The sequence below is a fragment of the Homo sapiens genome, chromosome 12 (genome assembly GCF_000001405.40).
Source record: "Homo sapiens chromosome 12, GRCh38.p14 Primary Assembly".
In the NCBI taxonomy this organism is placed as follows: domain Eukaryota; kingdom Metazoa; phylum Chordata; class Mammalia; order Primates; family Hominidae; genus Homo; species Homo sapiens.
In genome coordinates this window covers 112,315,189-112,332,594 of record NC_000012.12, presented here as the reverse complement: position 1 = coordinate 112,332,594, position 17,406 = coordinate 112,315,189, and the positions used below count along the sequence as shown (strand labels likewise).

At 40.5% G+C, this 17,406-nt stretch overlaps 1 protein-coding gene and 1 pseudogene across 2 annotated transcripts in view; one reads left to right on the top strand and one right to left on the bottom strand.

Moving 5' to 3' along the window:
• HECTD4 (HECT domain E3 ubiquitin protein ligase 4) overlaps positions 1 to 17,406 on the top strand; it is a 222,237-nt gene that overhangs the window by 49,837 nt on the left and 154,994 nt on the right. For both annotated transcript variants that reach the window (NM_001388303.1, NM_001109662.4), the window contains exon 2: positions 12,853 to 13,370. In NM_001388303.1, coding sequence (NP_001375232.1) covers positions 12,853 to 13,370 — 518 coding nt within the window. The remainder of the gene's footprint in view (positions 1 to 12,852; positions 13,371 to 17,406) is intronic.
• On the bottom strand, positions 9,499 to 10,206 carry LOC100421482 (DnaJ (Hsp40) homolog, subfamily C, member 2 pseudogene; annotated as a pseudogene).

Below are 17,406 nucleotides of genomic sequence, written 5' to 3'. Positions count from 1 at the left end.
TGGAAAAATCTTTAGAAATGGATTCCAGGAATCTTTTTTTTTTTTTTTTTTTTTGAGACAGAGTCTTAATCTGTCACCCAGGCTGGAGTGCAGTGGCACAATCTTGGCTCACTGCAACCTCCACCTCCTGGGTTCAAGCGATCAATTATCCTGCCTCACCCTCCCCAGTAGCTGGGATTACAGGCTCATACCACCAGGACCGGCTAATTTTTGTATTTTTAGTAGAGATGGGGTTTCACCATGTTGGTTGGCCAGGCTGGTCTCAAACTCCCGACCTTAGGTGATCCACCTGCCTCAGCCCCTGAAAGTGCTGGGATTATAGGTGTGAGCCACCGCGCCCTGCCCCAGGAATCTTTATATAAAGTGAGCACATCCAGGGATTTTGATGCACACTGTTTGAGTGACATATTATCAAAGTTCTTTATTATGCTTTGTGCATACCAGTAACTTCCTATTTCTGCTTGTGGTATAATAGAGAATAGGTCTTCCTCTTCCACATGACAGCCCTTCAGTCTTAGGAAGACAGCTCCCCCTTCCCACCCGTCTCTTCTGTAGGCCACGCATCCCCAGTTCCTTAACCATTTTTCATGTGACATGATTTCCAGATTAGTCAAATCATCTTCTTCTGGACACACTCTAGTCTCTTAATGGCTTCTTAAAATGAGGTACTTGGAACTGAACAGGATATTCCAGTTATAGTTTGACCATTGCAGAATATAAATGGGATTATTACCTCCCTTGTCCCTGACACTGGAATTCTACTGATGCATTCTAAGATTGCATTAGCTTTTGAAAACAGTGTTGGCTCAAGTGAAGCTTGTGTTTAACTCAAACCTCGCTTATGCCACCCCTGACTCTCCCAGCTTTTATCTAGTCAGGTCTTTGTTGTATGACCATCAGGAAAAATTCCCTTTCTTGTTGGTGATCTGGTCTATACATGGAAAGAGTATCTTTAATGTCATAACAATTATTTAGCAATTTCAACTTTTTCAGAGCATTGACTGTACATGATCTCCTTAGATTTTAACAACTGTGTAAAATGAAGGGAGGTGCTACCCTCGTTTTATAGATGCGGAAATACAGACTGAGAGACCTGAAGTAAAATGCCTAAGGGGAGGGAGAGTTATTTGCAGAGGCTGGCATAGAACCTAGTTCCCCCAACTCAGTGGTTTGAAATCTTGGCTGCACATTGGATTCACCTGTGGGCTTTAAAAACTGATGCTGGACAAGGTGTGGTGGCTCATGCCTGTAATCCCAGCACTTTGGGAGGCCGAGGCAGGAGGATCACCTGAGGTCAGGAGTTCAAGACCATCCTGGCCAACATGGTGAAACCCTGTCTTTACTAAAAATGCAAAAAATAGCTGGGCGTGGTGGCACGTGCCTGTAGTCCCAGCTACTAGGGAGATTGAGGCATGAGAATCACTTGAATCCGGGAGGCGGCAGTTGCATGAGTCGAGATCATGCCAGTGCACTCCAGCCTGGGTGATACAGCGAGACTCCATCTCAAAAAAAACAAAACAAACCAAAACACACCAGAACAAAAAAACCGATGCCTAGGCCCCATCCTCACATATTCTGAGGTAACCAGACCGGGGCGGGACCAACTCACTACTCTTGTTTAAAAGCTGTCAAAACAATTCTAATATTCAGGATTGAGAACAGCTGCCCTAAATCATATTCTGATGTCCCCTCCCCCTCACCACATGTATTTTCTTCATCTAATTAAAAGGTTCTTATGTGGAAGAGAGAGGATTATTTTCCATCATTCCAGAAGGCAAAAGTAAAATTAGTCCAAGTGGGAGAGGATTACTCAGATGTACAGTGGAAACCAGGTGTAAGCCCTAAGAGGATTATTCTTGGAATTTATTTATCTTCTCATTCATTAATTTATCAAACATTTATGTGCCAGACACTGTGCTCAGCTCTGGGGACACAAACATGAGTATGACATGGTCTCCCCCTTTTGGGGCTCACAGTTGAAAGGGAAGACAAACTGTAAATAAATAACATCATAGTGGAGTGTGGTAACTGTTACACGTATCAGAGCTGTTCAGTTTCCTTTTTAAATTTGTTATAGTTTTGTATTAAAAATTGTCAATAGTGATTTTCTTACCATAATATATTTATGCCAAGCATTTGGTGAATATGTTGCACTATATTAGTCTTTAAGTATGTAATTCAAGCAACAGATAAAGTTAGTCTGCAGAAATTTTGTGGAAATATCTTCTTTCTCTAAATACTCCTAATAATAAAATGTACAATAGTATTCAAACCATTTTGAAGAGTTTAGTCCTATGTCTTCCTTTTTTTTTTTTTTTGAGACAAAGTATCACTCTGTTGCCCAGGCTGGAGTGCAGTGGTGCGATCTCAGCTCACTGCAACCTCCGCCTCCCAGGTTCAAGGGATTCTCCTGCCTCAGCGTCCCAAGTAGCTGGGATTACAGGCGCCCATCACCACGCCCGGCTAATTTTTGTATTTTTAATAGAGATGGGGTTTCACTGTGTTTGTCAGGCTGGTCTCGATCTCCTGACCTCAGGTGATCTGCCCACCTTGGCCTCCCAAAGTGCTGGTATTATAGGCGTGAGCCACTGCGCCCGGCTAGTCCTCCAAATTTTTGATTTTTAAAAAATATTTTTATTAAAAAAAGTAGAGATGGGGTCTCACTATGTTGCCCAGATTTGTCTCAAACTCCTGGGCTCAAGCAATCGATCCTACCTCTTAGGCCTTCCCAAGTATTGAGATTACAGACGTGAGCCACTGTACCCAACCTCCAAATTCTATTCTGTTAATTACTAAGCATAGGTATATGATCTGTATTTATTTTGTCAAGATTTGATGTTGATGAAAAAATGATTTTGTAACATGGAGAAAATTTTAGATATGGATTTGATGCCTCTGAGATACCATTTATTAAAAACAAATCAATAGGCCAAGTGTGGTGGCTCATGCCTGTAATTCCAGCACTTTGGGACGCCGAGGTGGGCGGATCTCTTCAGGCCAGGAATTCGAGACCAGCCTGGCCATCATGGCGAAACCCTGTCTCTACCAAAAATACAGAAATTAACCCAATGTTGTGGTGGACATCTGTAATCCCAGCTACTCGGGAGGCTGAGGCACGAGAATCATTTGAACCCAGGAGACGGAGGTTGCAATAAGCTGAGATTGCACCACTGCACTCCAGCCTGGGCAACAGAGCGAGACTCTGTTAAAAAAAAAAAAAAAAACAAAAAACCCAAAACAAATCAATACATTCTTATTAAAACAGCTAAAACACTTTTCCTTATAGTTTGTAGCTGACTTTCTGATAAGAAGTATGTATACAGTACTGTGAAAACTCAGAGAAACTGTTTTGGAAAGGGGAAGAGAAAGAGAGGAAATCAGAGTTTCTCAAAGTAGGTCTTGATGGAGCAGGGCTGAATTTTGAAAGGTAGGATTTACACTGAGTCGGGTAGGCATTCAGGCAACAAGAGCAGGGAGATGGAAAAATAGAACCCTGGTCAAAGGGACAGCACAAAAGATGAAAACTGGGCAGGGGCCACAACAAGATGGAACTTTCATGGTAAAAGAATTTGAACAGTAATTTCTTATGTATTGGAGTCCTCACAATTCTGACAATCCTGCTGTCACCAGCAGTTATATGAAGATCTGGGAAAGTCACCATATGCTGGAGAAAGTTTTGCAGGGCTTAGCCAAAACTAAAAAATCTAGCAAGAAGTCAGAGTCCATTCCAGTTTTGGCATCCAGTTAGAGGCTAAAACTCATGAATTAAAGTGTGGAAATTTAATATCCTCGTTCTCAGTTAGGTTTAAGACCCTTTTTACAAATAAGAGATGTTGAAAAGTGAGTTTGAATAAACACATATTTCCAAGTTGGATAAGGTCGTGCAGCTTCAGGGTCTAATTTAATTGATAAGTGATCCACCCTGGATTTGGGCTTTAGTAAGAGAGAATTCCACCCTCCCATCATGATGTACTTACTTGGCTCGCATGAGAGCTTTTCAAGTCTTTGTTGATTGCAACATGCAATTCAATTTGGCTATGATTGCTGTCTTCATTATGTGAAAAATGGTAGAAAAAAAATCTGTAGAAAGGTTTAAGCATCTATTCTAACATTTGAGAGGGTTTCAGTATTCTGCCTTTACTTAAAAGTTTTGTATTGGCAGGGCATACTGGCTCATGCCTGTAATCCCAGCACTTTGGGAGGCTGAGGCAGGAGGATCACTTGAACCCCAGGAGTTTGAGATCAGCCTAGACAACATGGTGAAACCCCACCTCTAAAAAATGTTTAAATTAGCTAGGCATAGTGGTGAATGCCTGTAGTCCCAGCTACCCAGGAGGCTGAGGTGGGAGGATCACTTGAGCCCAGGTGGTGGAGGTTGCAGTAAGCTGAGATTGCACCACTGCACTCCAGCCTGGATGACAGGGCAAGACCCTGTCTCAAAATAAATAAATAAATAAATAAATAAATAAATAAATAAATAAATAGTTTTACATTGAGGTTGCAAGTCTAGCCAGTCGATCTCCTTTGAAATAATCCAAGTATAAATTCCTTTTATGCTGACAGGTTCATATAATGAATTGAATTGGTTAATGTCCCATACCGGGGAGTATAGTAATATAATTCATCTGCTTAGAGCCCAAGTGACCCTGAGTTTTAAACATCATTTCCTTTTGGAAATTGAAAGGTTTTATTGTTCATTGATAGTTCCCAATATCTGCAGGGTCTTTCCCATTTACCATCCTGTCTTCCGTCCTAACCAGGAACATAATCAGCTCTACATTATTTGAAATTAACTGCTGCCAAAGTACAACAGATGGGACTAGTGAACTGATGTAAGGAAAGCATTTCCTGTGGTACTTGTGTCACCATTTGTTTGACTACCAGTTATTGAAAGATAGCGTTTGCGTGTGAAAAATTATCAGTGCTAGTTATGACTGCTTTTCTTTTTTTTGTCTTTGGAAACTCAGATGTTCTAAGCATTTCTTCTGTATGAACAATGTAACTTGTCATTAGTCTGTTGTTTTTGAAACAGAGAAAAAATAACATCCATGTTTCTATTTTCACAAACACTAATTTCAAAATTGAACAAGTGTGTTTTACAGACTCCTAATTAGAGGGCATATGCAATTTTTATACTGCTTTCTATTGTGGTTTTAATAATTTTTTATTTAATGATTTAATTTAATTTAATGTTTTATTTAATATAAATAAAAAATCATTAATATTTCATTTTGAGATGTTATAATTTAATTAAACACTTCCTTTTTTTCTCCTCCCCGAGATGGAGTTTTGCTCTGTCGCCCAGGCTGGAATGCAGTAGCACGATCTTGGCTTACTGCAACCTCCACCTCCCGGGTTCAAGCAGTTCTCCTGCCTCAGCCTTCTGAGTAGCTGGGATTACAGGCATGCGCCACCACACCCGGCTAATTTTTGTATTCTTAGTAGAGACGGGGTTTCACCAGGCTGGTCTCGAACTCTTGACCTCATGATCTGCCCACCTTGGCCTCCCAAAGTGCTGGGATTACAGGCGTGAGCCACCGCGCCTGGCCCAACACTTCCCTTTTATACATTGAGATTGCTTCTACCTTTCCCACTATAATAAACAATACTGCAATGAATATCTCTGTGTATTTCTTACTTCTAGAATATTGCTTTAGGACAAATTCCTAGAAATATAATTTCTATTTCTTTCAGAAATATGCTCAAATATATATTTGTATATATATTTGTATAGACAAGAGAGAAGATGATTTTAGCTTCTTACTTGACCCTTTTCAATAATTATCTCTCTGCTATTCTGAACAGCAAAGTAGATGGAAATCGATGTTTATCCTTACAGGATTATAGTAGTTTATGCTAATGATTAGTCTAGTTAATGTCCTTATATGTATATATAATATTCTCTACAACTTCAAAAGCGTCTATATGCCTATCCTCACTCCTACACTTACTTGAAATGCAGGTTGGCATTTCACATTTCACATCATGGCTGGCTGGTATCTGTTGTCCAGTATTTTCCCAGAAAAAAATGGAAATAAATTAGTAAATTGGCTAAAATGATCTGATTGATCATCTGTTTTTTTTGTTTTTGTTTTTGTTTTTGAGACAGGGTCTCACTCTGTCACTCAGGTTGGAATGCAGTGGTGCAATCATAGCTCACTGCAGCCTTGAACTCCTGGGCTTAAGCAATCCTCCTGCCTCAGCCTTTTAGGTAGCTGGGACTATAGGTGCATGCCACCACACCCAGCTAATTATTTTTTATTTTGTAGAGACTGTCTTGCCATGTTGCTCAGGCTGGTCTCAAACTCCTGGCCTCAAGATCACCTGAACCTCCCAAAGTGTTGGGATTACAGGCGTGAGCCATCACAGCTGGCCTGACCACTCTGTTCTTCTATCAGATATTGTAGTCTTGTTCAAAGCCAGATTTGGCCAGCAAAGAATATTTTACCCACATTCAATTAGACTTTCCAGAATGACTGTTTCCTTAGTTTAAAAACACTTATGTTGGCCAGGTGCGGTGGCTCATGCCTGCAATCCCATCACTTTGGGAGGCCGAGGCAGGAGGATTGCTTGAGCCCAGGAATTTGAGACTAGCCTGGGCAACATAGCGAGACCCTGTCTATACAAAAAATTAGCCGAGTGTGGTGGTGCAGGCCTGTGGTTCCAGCTACTTGAGAGGCTCAGGCTGCAGTGAGCCATGATCGTTCCACTGCACTCCAGCAGCCTGGGTGACAGAGCAAGGCTGCTGGAGTCAACCTGTCTCAAAAGAAAAAAAAAAAAACGGCAACAAAACACATATGTTATGTGTGATTAAAAAAAATACATGAAGGCTGTGAGTTACTTTGGCAGTCACTCCCTTAATTAGGGTAACGTTAGCATTATCACCAAAGTACAGTTAGTAACACTTCTGATTAAGGATGACAGGGATATTCCCTTTTCCTTAAATAGCTTTCCACTTTTTTAAAGAGAAAAATATTAATTTCTAATGACATTTTGGTCAAGAGCAGTGGTTTTATGTGAGGATCTGAGACAAATCATTTAATATTCATAAGTACCAGAATAGATATGCCATAGCTGACTTACAAAAACCCAAAGGTATGATGTCTTTTTATAAAATGATTTTAGGCCATGACCTTCAAACTTTAGAATTCTGAAAAAACAGTGGCATAGCAAACAGTTCTGAGTTTTCATAAGGGGCCCCTGAAATGGATAACGCTGAGTAGCCTAATGGATTTCTGAAAGCATAGTGTGCTTTAGATACTGCTAAATCAATAAACACAACAGTCATTTAAGTGTGTATGTTATATAATATTTGGTTAATTATATTATAACTCAAATTCTTTCAGTGCACTTGTCTTTTAAATTGAATGCTAAATATAACTGGAGTACTTGTAAAAATAGAATGGTCAGAAAAATGCAGAGTATATTATGTCATTTTTCTAAGCTATATTAAGTTAATATTTGGAGTTAGCAACAGATTTTGTCATACACATCATTTTATGTACCATGAAATGTCATATTTCAGAAGTACTCATGTTTAATAATAAAAATAAATAGCCCTGTTTTATGTTACTGAGTTGTTCATCATTTGAGTTCAATAAAAGACTATATTGAATTTTTTTAGTAGTTGCTTCATATAACATAAGTAGATGATTGGTGTACCATAAATAAAAATGTATGTTGAGTACATAGGTAGGTATTTTATATAAAAGAGTTGTTTTGGGTGGAAGAAATAACAATACTGAAAAGCTTTTTTAAAGTGCCAAAAACTTTATTATTTGTTTAGATGTTTATGACTGGGAAGATGATCAAAGTTAAAATTTTGCAGTTTTTCATATCATTGAAAAATATTTCAGTAATCTTTATTGATTGTAATAGTGGAGGCTGGTTACTGATTTTTGGGGGTAATAGCACTAAAAAACAAATGAAAATAGGCAGTATGACTTTCTTGAGTTTGATAACAGCTTCAAGGCAGGTGGTTGCCCTTGAAATGTGATCATTTTTTAAGGAACTTGAGTTATTTTATCTGCTGCCATCTGAAAAATAAAAAGGTAATGTGTGTTTGGTGAATCTAAATAAAAGGGTAGGGAAATACAGTTTTATATTACTTGATGGTGAAGGACATTTAATCAATCATTATTTGTTTGATGTGGTTGTATTAAAAACTAAGTAAGTAGCTGAGCGCAGTGGATCATGCCTATACTCTTAGCACTTTGGGAGGCTGAGGCAAGCAGATCGCTTGAGCTCTGGAGTTCAAGACTAGCCTGGGCAATGTAGGGAGACCCCCATCTCTACAAAAAATACAAAAAATTAGCTGCATAGTGGCACATGCCTCTAGTCCCAGCTACTCAGGAGGCTGAGGTGGGATGATTGACCACCTGAGCCTGGGAAGCTTGAGGCTCCAGTGAGCTAAGATTGCACCACTGTACTCCAGCCTGGGTGAGTGAGACCCCGTCAAAAAAAAAATAAAAAAAAGAAAGAAAGAGAGAGAGGAAAGAAAGAAAGAAAGAAAGAAAGAAAGAAAGAAAGAAAGAAAGAAAGAAAGAAAGGAAGGAAGGAAGGAAGGAAGGAAGGAAGGAAGGAAGGAAGGAAGGAAGGAAGGAAGGAAGGAAGGAAGGAAGGAAGGAAGAAAGAAAGAAAGAAAGAAGCACCTCAGTAAAAAATACCTCTAATTTTTATTTTTAATGATATTATTTTCAATATATCTTTACCCAGTGATATCTAGTTGAATACAACTATAGTCTGGTTGGAATTTTTTTCCTTTTATTTAATCTTTAAAGTTATACAGTCAAACTGGCCTTTTTTGGGAGGTGTGTAGTTCTATGAATTTTAACATGTTATTAATTCATGTAACCACCACCACAACTGGGAACAATTCCTTCAACCCCCCCAAAAAAACTCCCTCATACTATCCCTGTGTAGTCAGACCCTACCTCCCCTTACCCCTAAACCCCGGTAACCATTGATCTATTCTCCATTACCATAGTTTTTTTTTTTTCCCAGAATGTCACAGAAATGAAATCATACAGAACATAACCCTTGGAAATTGGCTTCTCTCAACAAAATGCCATTAGATTCCTTAAAGTAGTTGTGTTTATCAATAGTTTCTTTCTTTGCTAAGTTGTGGGTTGAAATTTTATGGCATCCTGATATTACATCAGATCTGATAAGCTGGCACTGAATTTTTTTAAAACTATGAATATTTTTCATATTAGTTAACTGAGATACTTATAGTTAATTTTTTGAATTGGAATTTGTTGTTTTGTTTTCACAGTATTTTCAGTTTTATTATAAAAGTACACACCCAATAAAGATTAAGTCATTTCTTAACTCTATCTGCATTCGACCCTTGCTCTTTTTATTTATTTTATTTTATTTATTTATTTTTAGAGACAAGGTCTCACTACTAGGCTGGTCTTGAACTCCTGGCCTCAAGTGATCCTCCCACCTCCTCCTCCCTAAGTGCTGGGATAACAGGCATGAGCCACCGCGCCCAGCCAACACTTGCTCTTGAGCAGCTTTCTTTGCTTTTACCATCTTGGCAAGTTCCTTGCATCTTTTCATGCAGCCTTTCTTTGTCCTGCCAGGTACTGGCAGTTTGTGCTGTTTTCTCTCATCTTTCAGGTGTGTTGACTGGGTGTGTTTTCAAAGCTTGTTCAAAAAGCTTCTGTTCGTTCTCCAAGGGGTGAAGTGGGTGCATGGACTGTAAAATCATTCTGAAGGTGTTTCATTGTCTGCTTGAGGCAATGTTCTTTTTAAAGTTTATCAAAAGCCTTTTTTGTTTGTCATCTTTTTGATGAGGGTCCAATTTTTGGAGGCTCTTTGCTTTGCCAGTAACACCTTTGGTGGTTGTCTTGACATCAGTAGAAGAATGTATGTTGATGTAATTAGCAATAACTTACCAACTTCCCATCTTGAATTCATACCAGCAGGGAAGAGATTCATAGCTTTAACTTGTAGCTGCAGATCATCTTCTTACCAGTTGTTGCTGCCATTTCCACCTCTGCCAGTTTATTTCTCTGCATTCTTAGATGCTTATTACATACGAGCCCCACCTTCCTGTTTCTCCTTCGTAATTTGTTCATTTATTTCTTCTGTTTTTCCAGAGCAGCCATTCCTACTTCTTTTGTAGATGATGTGTTTCATTCAACTACTGTAAGCTTTCTAGTTCAAGCTGATTACAAAGTTTTTCTACTTGCATCATTTCTTTTTTTTTTCTTTTTTGAGACAGGGTCTCCCCCTGTCACCCAGGCTGGAGTGCACTGGTGCCATCATAACTCACTGCAGCCTTGAACTCCTGGCCTCAGGCAGTCCTTCCACCTTGGCCTCCCAAAGTTATAGGATTACAGGCATGAGCCACCACACCTGGCCTTCTTCCATCATTTTAACCCACCCTGCCTCATTGTTGGAAAAGTGATTCCAGATCTTAGATGAGTTTCGAAGTTTTTGCCTTTCTTTCTTTTTCTTTCTTCTTTTTTTTTTTTTTTAGCAGACAAGGTCTTACTATGTTGCTTAGGCTGGAGTGCAGTGGCTATTCACAGGCACGATCATAGCCACTACAGCCTCGAACTCCTGGGTTCAAGCAGTCCTGCCTCAGCCTCCCAAGCAGCTGGAAGTATAGGCGTATGTCACCCACCTAGCTTACCATTTCTTTGTAATGTTTTTTTTTTTGGATGTCTTTTTCTTTCTTTGCCAGTAATACTTGTTGTCTAATTATAAGTTCTTTCTCCTTTGCTAATTGAGTAGCTTCTAATTCAGCTTATCTTTGTTTTTCTTTAGCTTCTTGCTTCTTTTGTTTTGGTTTTGTGTTGTTGTTTTTAAATTGTGAACTTTTTTTTTAGTTCAATTCAGTGATTTGCATATGTAGCTAAGCAAGGCAATTACAGCGTTTGCATTGTTTTGGAAATTCTTGTTATTTTATTGGGCTAAAATATTAATAACAAGTTTCTAAAGGCAAAATTTGAGATAAAAGAGTATTTTTCCAGTTTGTAAGGGAAATAAACTGCACTATGACCTTTCTTAATGTCAGTGCCAAAGACCTGGCAGAATTTTCTTTACTTTTGTCCCAGGCCTCTTCCCACCCTGACTTTCTGGTCTACTGTGAACCAGGCACCTCTATTGTCTGATAATCTGTTTCAGTGTGCTTGCTCCTAGAGTGCCCTCCTTTGTTGATTACAGTAGTCTGTTGGTTTTGATCTAGTCAAATTTATGTGCATAAACTCTTTGCATTGTAAATTTAGTTTGATTCTTGAGATTTAGTTTGATCTTGAGAGCTGGTTCCTTTCTTAGCTGATAGAAGATATAATGGTTTTATTATCCCCAGCTGCTGAAAATGGAGGCCTCCTGATAATTGAATGTTTTGGCAAGAAAACAATCTAATATGAATTGGATAAATCTCTACCATGTCACAAATTAAAATAATGGGTTAACACTATTAAGAATGGGGTATGCTGCCAGGCATAGTGGCTCAGGCCTGTAATCCCAGCACTTTGGGAGGCCGAGGTGGGCAGATCACCTGAGGTCAGGAGTTCAAGACCAGCCTGGCCAATGTGGCGAAACCTCGTCTCTACTAAAAATACAAAAATTAGCCGGGCATGGTGGCACACCCTTGTAATCCCAGCTATTAGGGAGGCTGAGGCAGAATTGCTTGAACCTGGGAGGTGGAGGTTGCAGTGAGCTGAGATCGGCCATTGCACTCCAGCCTGGGCAAGAGAGCAAGACTCCATCTCAAAAAAAAAGAATGGGGTATGCTTCACAACCAAAGAACCGTGAATAATCCATCATTTATTAAACATATATATATTAGGTTTTGAAGAACAGAGATAAAACTTGGTTCCATTTTTACTAGTACTCTATCTGGTAATAGGAGTTAGAAACTTTAACTTTTTTTTTTTAAGACAGAGTCTCACTCTGTCACCCAGGCTGGAGTTCAGTGGTGCGATCTCGGCTCACTGCAACCTCTACCTCCCGGGTTCGAGCAATTCTTCTGCCTCAGGGTCCTGAGTAGCTGGGACTACAGGCGTGGGCCACCACGCCTGGCTAATTTTTTTTGTATTTTTAGTAGAGATGGTGTTTCACCATGTTGGCCAGGCTGGCCTCGAACTCCTGACTTCATGATCTGCCCGCCTCTGCCTTCCAAAGTGCTGGGATTACAGGCGTGAGCCACCGCGCCTGTCCTAGAAACAACATTTATAACTCAAGATCATTTACTAAAGGTTTATGCTTCAATTTTTTTCCTTTTTTTTTGTAGTATTATTTTTTGAGACAGGGTCTCGCTCTGTCACTCAGGCTGTAGTGCAGGGCACCATCATGGCTTACTGCAGCCTCTACTTCCCGGGCTTTAGCAATCCTCCCACCTCAGTCTCCCAAGTAGCCGCAACGACAGGTGCACACCACCAAGCCTGGCTATTTTTTGTATTTTTGGTAGAGAGAGGGTTTCACCATGTTGCCCAGGCTGGTTTCCAACTGCTGGGCTCAAGCTATCCACCCACCTCAGCCTCCCAAAGTGTTGGGATTACAGGCGTGAGCCACCACGCCTGGCTTTATACTTCAATTTTCTAAAATAAATTATGGAGTTAATTTCTGACTTTCACACTTAACTATATTCTTTTATGATTTGGGCTCTTTCAATTAGGTCTAATCCCAATTTTCATGGAAGCATTAACAGAAAAGCCAAAAGGGGAACAATTCCATCAGCAAAGAGCTGGCTTTACAGTATACGTTTTCCATTTGATTGTAATTAAAATAATTTTTGGCGTTGACTATTTTGGGATATCATTAAACATATTTTCTTCCTTAGATGACTTTGGTGAAAGTAATATTTACCCACTTCTCCATCGTCTTTTTCCTTAGATTTTAACCTTTGAGACCAAGAACCCGTCGGAATTAGCAGAACGTTTGCGCTCTGTTTGTGGGAATCAGAGCAATGCCTATGCCCGGCTGCTGGAATACCGCCTGAATGCCTTGCGAGGACTGTGGAATGCCCAGCGCCAGCTGGCCTTAGAAGAACAGCATGAAAGGGAAAGTTCAGGTGATGAGGAAACTTTGGCCCTGCTCAAACGCCAGGGCTTGTTGCAGCAACCTGAGCAAGCGCCCTTCACATCGAGGATGGGGCTCCTGCTGGTCTTCCCCCTTATTCAGTCCCAGAGTAGAACAGACCCCTCTCTCTGTAACATAACTGCTGAGGTGCTATTGAACTGCCTTCGTGACTGCCAGCCTTTGAGCTTGACCAAGGAGCCTGCTGACTGTCTCAATGGAATTGAAACTTTGCTGTGCTCTTGGCTAGAGGAGACTTCTGACACAGGCCGACACATCCCACATAAGCAAAAAGAAAATGCTGCTGCTGCCCTGGTGGCTTTGGCTTGTGCCAGGTAAGGAAAATCGAATGTATCATTTGGTGACCTTGTGACTACTGCCACCTGGGTTGGGTGAATGAAGAAGAGGCCAAGTATATTTGATAGAAGTCTTAACATTCAGAAGTCCTTCTTTGCTTTCAGTATTGAATTTCACAGCCTTGACAGTGCATGAGATGCTTTCACCAAACTTGGCACCAGGTGCCTGAGTTGGAACCAAAGTTCATGTTTTCTGTTTCTGGTATACCATGATAACATCTTAACCAGCAGAAAATGGAGAATCAACCCTTGACATATCTAATTGTCCCTTAGATGGTTAGTGTTTTACATCAAGTAGTTAGCAGAGGATGTTATGTCTACTTCTCCTAGGAGGATGGTCAAAACTTTATAGAGCTATTAATTTTTCATACCTGTCTATAAGAAGTACATCAGCAAGCTAGTGGGCTATTATTCACCTGGACTCAGTCACAAAATTGGTCACAAATTATATTTTTGGACCTAATACTTGTTTTGATCAATTTAATTGGAAGATTTCTCAGTATATATCTAGATTTAATAGTAGTACACATGGCTGGACGTGGTGGCTCACGCTTGTAATCCTAGCACTTTGGGAGGCTGAGGTGGGCAGATCACTTGAGGTCAGGAGTTCTAGACTGCCCTGGCCAACATGGTGAAACCCTGTCTCTACTAAAAATACAAAAATTAGCCGGGCGTTGTGGTGGGTGCCTGTAATCCCAGCTACCTGGAGGCTTAGGCAGGACAATCATTTAAACCCAGGAAGCAGTGGTTGCAGTGAGCCAAGTTGGCGCCACTGCACCCTAACCTGGGCAACAGACCAAGACTTTGTCTTTAAAAAAAAAAAAAATTGTATGCTGTTCTTCATGTGCAAGTCATCAACCCACTATCAATAGGAAATATGCTTGGAGTTGCTTTTCTTTTTGCTTTTCTCTCTTTTCTCTTTTCTTTTCTCTTTTTTTTGAGACAGAGTCTCACTCTGTCACCCAGGCTGGAGTGCAGTGGCATGATCTTGGCTCACCACAACTTCCACCTCCCGGATTCAAGTGATTCTCCTGCCTCAGCCTCCCAAGTAGCTGGGATTACAGGTGCCCAACTAATTTTTTTGTATTTTTAGTAGAGATGGGGTTTCACCATGTTGGCCAGACTGGTCTCAAATTCCTGACCTCAAGTGATCCGCCCACCTCAGCCTCCAAGAGTACTGGAATACAGGCATGAGCCACTGTGCCTGGCCTATTCCTCTCTTTTTTTTTTTTTTTTTTTTTTTTTTTGAGATGGGGTCTTGCTCTCAAAGACCAGGCTGAAGTGCAGTGACATGATCTCAGCTCACTGTGATCCTCCCACCTCAGCCTCCCGAGTAGCTGGGACTACAGGCACCTGCCACCATGGCTGGCTAATTTTTTGTATCTTTGGTAGAGACGGGGTTTCCCCTTGTTGCCCAGGCTGGTCTCAAACTCCTGAGCTGAAGCAATCTGCCGGCCTTGGCCTCCCAGAGTGCTGGGATTACAGGCATGAGCCACCCTGCCCGGCCTGGAGTTGCTTTTCTAGGAATTTTATACATTCTTCTACCCATTGACCCGTATGATCACTGGCATCTGTTTGTGAGAAAGAAGTTTCACTACCTTTGTTTTCCAGTAGACTAATTGCCTAGAGAACAGTTAGGACCACAGCCTGACAGATTAGTGTCAGTATTCTGTCTGTCTTCCGTAGAATTTTTTCCTTGGTTGGGATCTTCTTTCTTTTAGCCAAACATCTGTGGGAGAATTCTTCTTGGATAATTATGAAGTTCTTAGTTATAAGTCTTCTTGCCCTGTTTTTCTCTGTATAGTTTCAAAGTTGACCTTCAAATGATTGAATCTCAAGGGTTTTTTTAAGGCAAAATGGCACCAGTGTTTATTGTAAGTTTCTTTGCTCTGAGCAAGCTGTCATAGCCTAGTTTTAGATCCCCTAAAACTGTGGTTTGTGAATCCTGACATGTGCTTAATTCTAGAGTCATTGTGTGGTACTGAAACAAGTTTCCTTGTAAAGGCTTTATATTGGATTGATTTATTTTCTGCATATGCAGAGACAATTTCAAGTCCAAGATCTGTTATCACTGTGCAAATTCCATTTGAGAAAATGTGCTTTTAGACAGTACTATCTTTAGACAGATTTAGGATGTTAGGAATAATTATCAACTCTTTAGTTTCAAACAGTTTAAGTTATTAATTGTTGGTTCATAAAACTCACATTTTTATTGTGTACCCAAATTCAGCCTATACCAAAAATAGTTATTGAACTTACTTCCTGTGCTGGACATTCTAAATTTCATTCAGCAGAAATGTTGAAATGGATGTATTTATTTATTTATTCTTCTTGGGTTTTTTTTTTTTTAACATGGTTCCTACATTTTATTGCCAATATCATGTTCTGGACTTCAGAAGTCATGTGCTTTTCAGTGTTAGATCATCTTACTAAAGTTATTAGTGGCATATTATTGAATTTTTGGGTTGATGCTCTCAAAGACAAAGTAACCCTTCCCCAAAATTATTATGAAGATTATTCATTCAACCAACTAACATTTATTGAACATTTCTGATGTACAGGAATCTTGCCCGGTCTTAGGGATATAGTGATTCTAGGTTTCTTACCTCACAGAGCTTACGGTTGAATGGACTCAGGGTAAGTCATTCTGCAAAACCTTATTGCTCACTTACTGCACGGAAGGCATTCTCTTGGTGGTAGGGATACAGTGGAGAGCAGGTAGACCGTGCCTAAAATTGCAGAGCTTACATAGGAGTGAGGGAGGCAGACAGTGAGCAACAAATATAGGTAACAGATCATTGTAGAGAGGAATATTCACTATAGGAAAAGACAGAGAGATATTTTGATAGAGAATGACTGTGGAGGTGGAGAGCAGCATTAGCTGGAGATGCCAGGGAAGGCCTTACTGAAGAGATGACACTTGAACTGGGCCCTGGATGATGAGAAGCAGCCAGTGGCAGAGAGTTCCACGTAAATGGAGTGGCGAGTGACAAAACTGACATTATTCTTGTGCTTGGGGTATCTGAGGGGACAGCACAGTGGGCAGGGTTTCTGGAACGTGATAGTAGAAGGAGAGGGGCAGGAGATGAAGTTGGCAGGGCCCAGATCACATAGGGGTTTGTGAGCCATGGAAGGACTTTACATTTTACTCTTAAAATCTGATTGAAGGCTGGATATGGTGGCTCACATCTATAATTTCAGCACTTTGGGAGGCTAAAGCAGGAGCATCTCTTGAGGCCAGGAGTTCGAGACCAGTCTAGGCAACATAATGAGACCCTGTCTCTCTTTTTTTTTTTTTTTTTTTTTTTAAGACATGGTCTCATTCCGTTGCCTAGGCTGGAGTGCAGTGGTGTGATCATAGCTCACTGCAACCTTGAACTCCTGTGTTCAAGCAATCCTCCTGCCTCAGCCTCCCAAAGTGCTGGGATTACAGGTGTGAGCCACTGCACCCAGCCAGACCCTGTCTCTTTTAAAAAAACAAATCTGATTGAATCTGGCAGGTAATAATTCCTTAGAGTTGGTTAATAGTTCTAAACTTTCTAAATGTTAAAGGTTTTGCTTCTTTATTTTAAACCTCACTGTTCCCCAGGAAAGTGTCCCTGTTGGGCAGATGAAGAAGCAAAAATCCATAGGAGTTAGGTGACAGGACTGAGATTGTGCAGCTGATGAGTGGCAGAGCCAGGTTTCAGAACCCATGTGTCCCGATTCCAACTTGTTTTTATACTCTATCTGCTGCCTCCTTGCCTTCTATTAATGCTATTCTTTTGTTTTTATTCTCTGAAACTAGAGATAGTGAAAGGGGCAATTAACAGGAAGACTCTAGGCCTACTTGGTTCTGCGTTAGGTATTCCATTTCTATTGGCGTTTAGGCATATGATACCCAGCAATTAAAGCCTTGGCTAAGAGACTAAGGCAGCAAGTCGAAGTCAGCCCGTCAGATACAGGCGATCATTTAGTTCAGGAAGTGTTCTTGTGGTGATTTGTACTTGGGATGCGGCCAGGTAAGTCTTGTGCA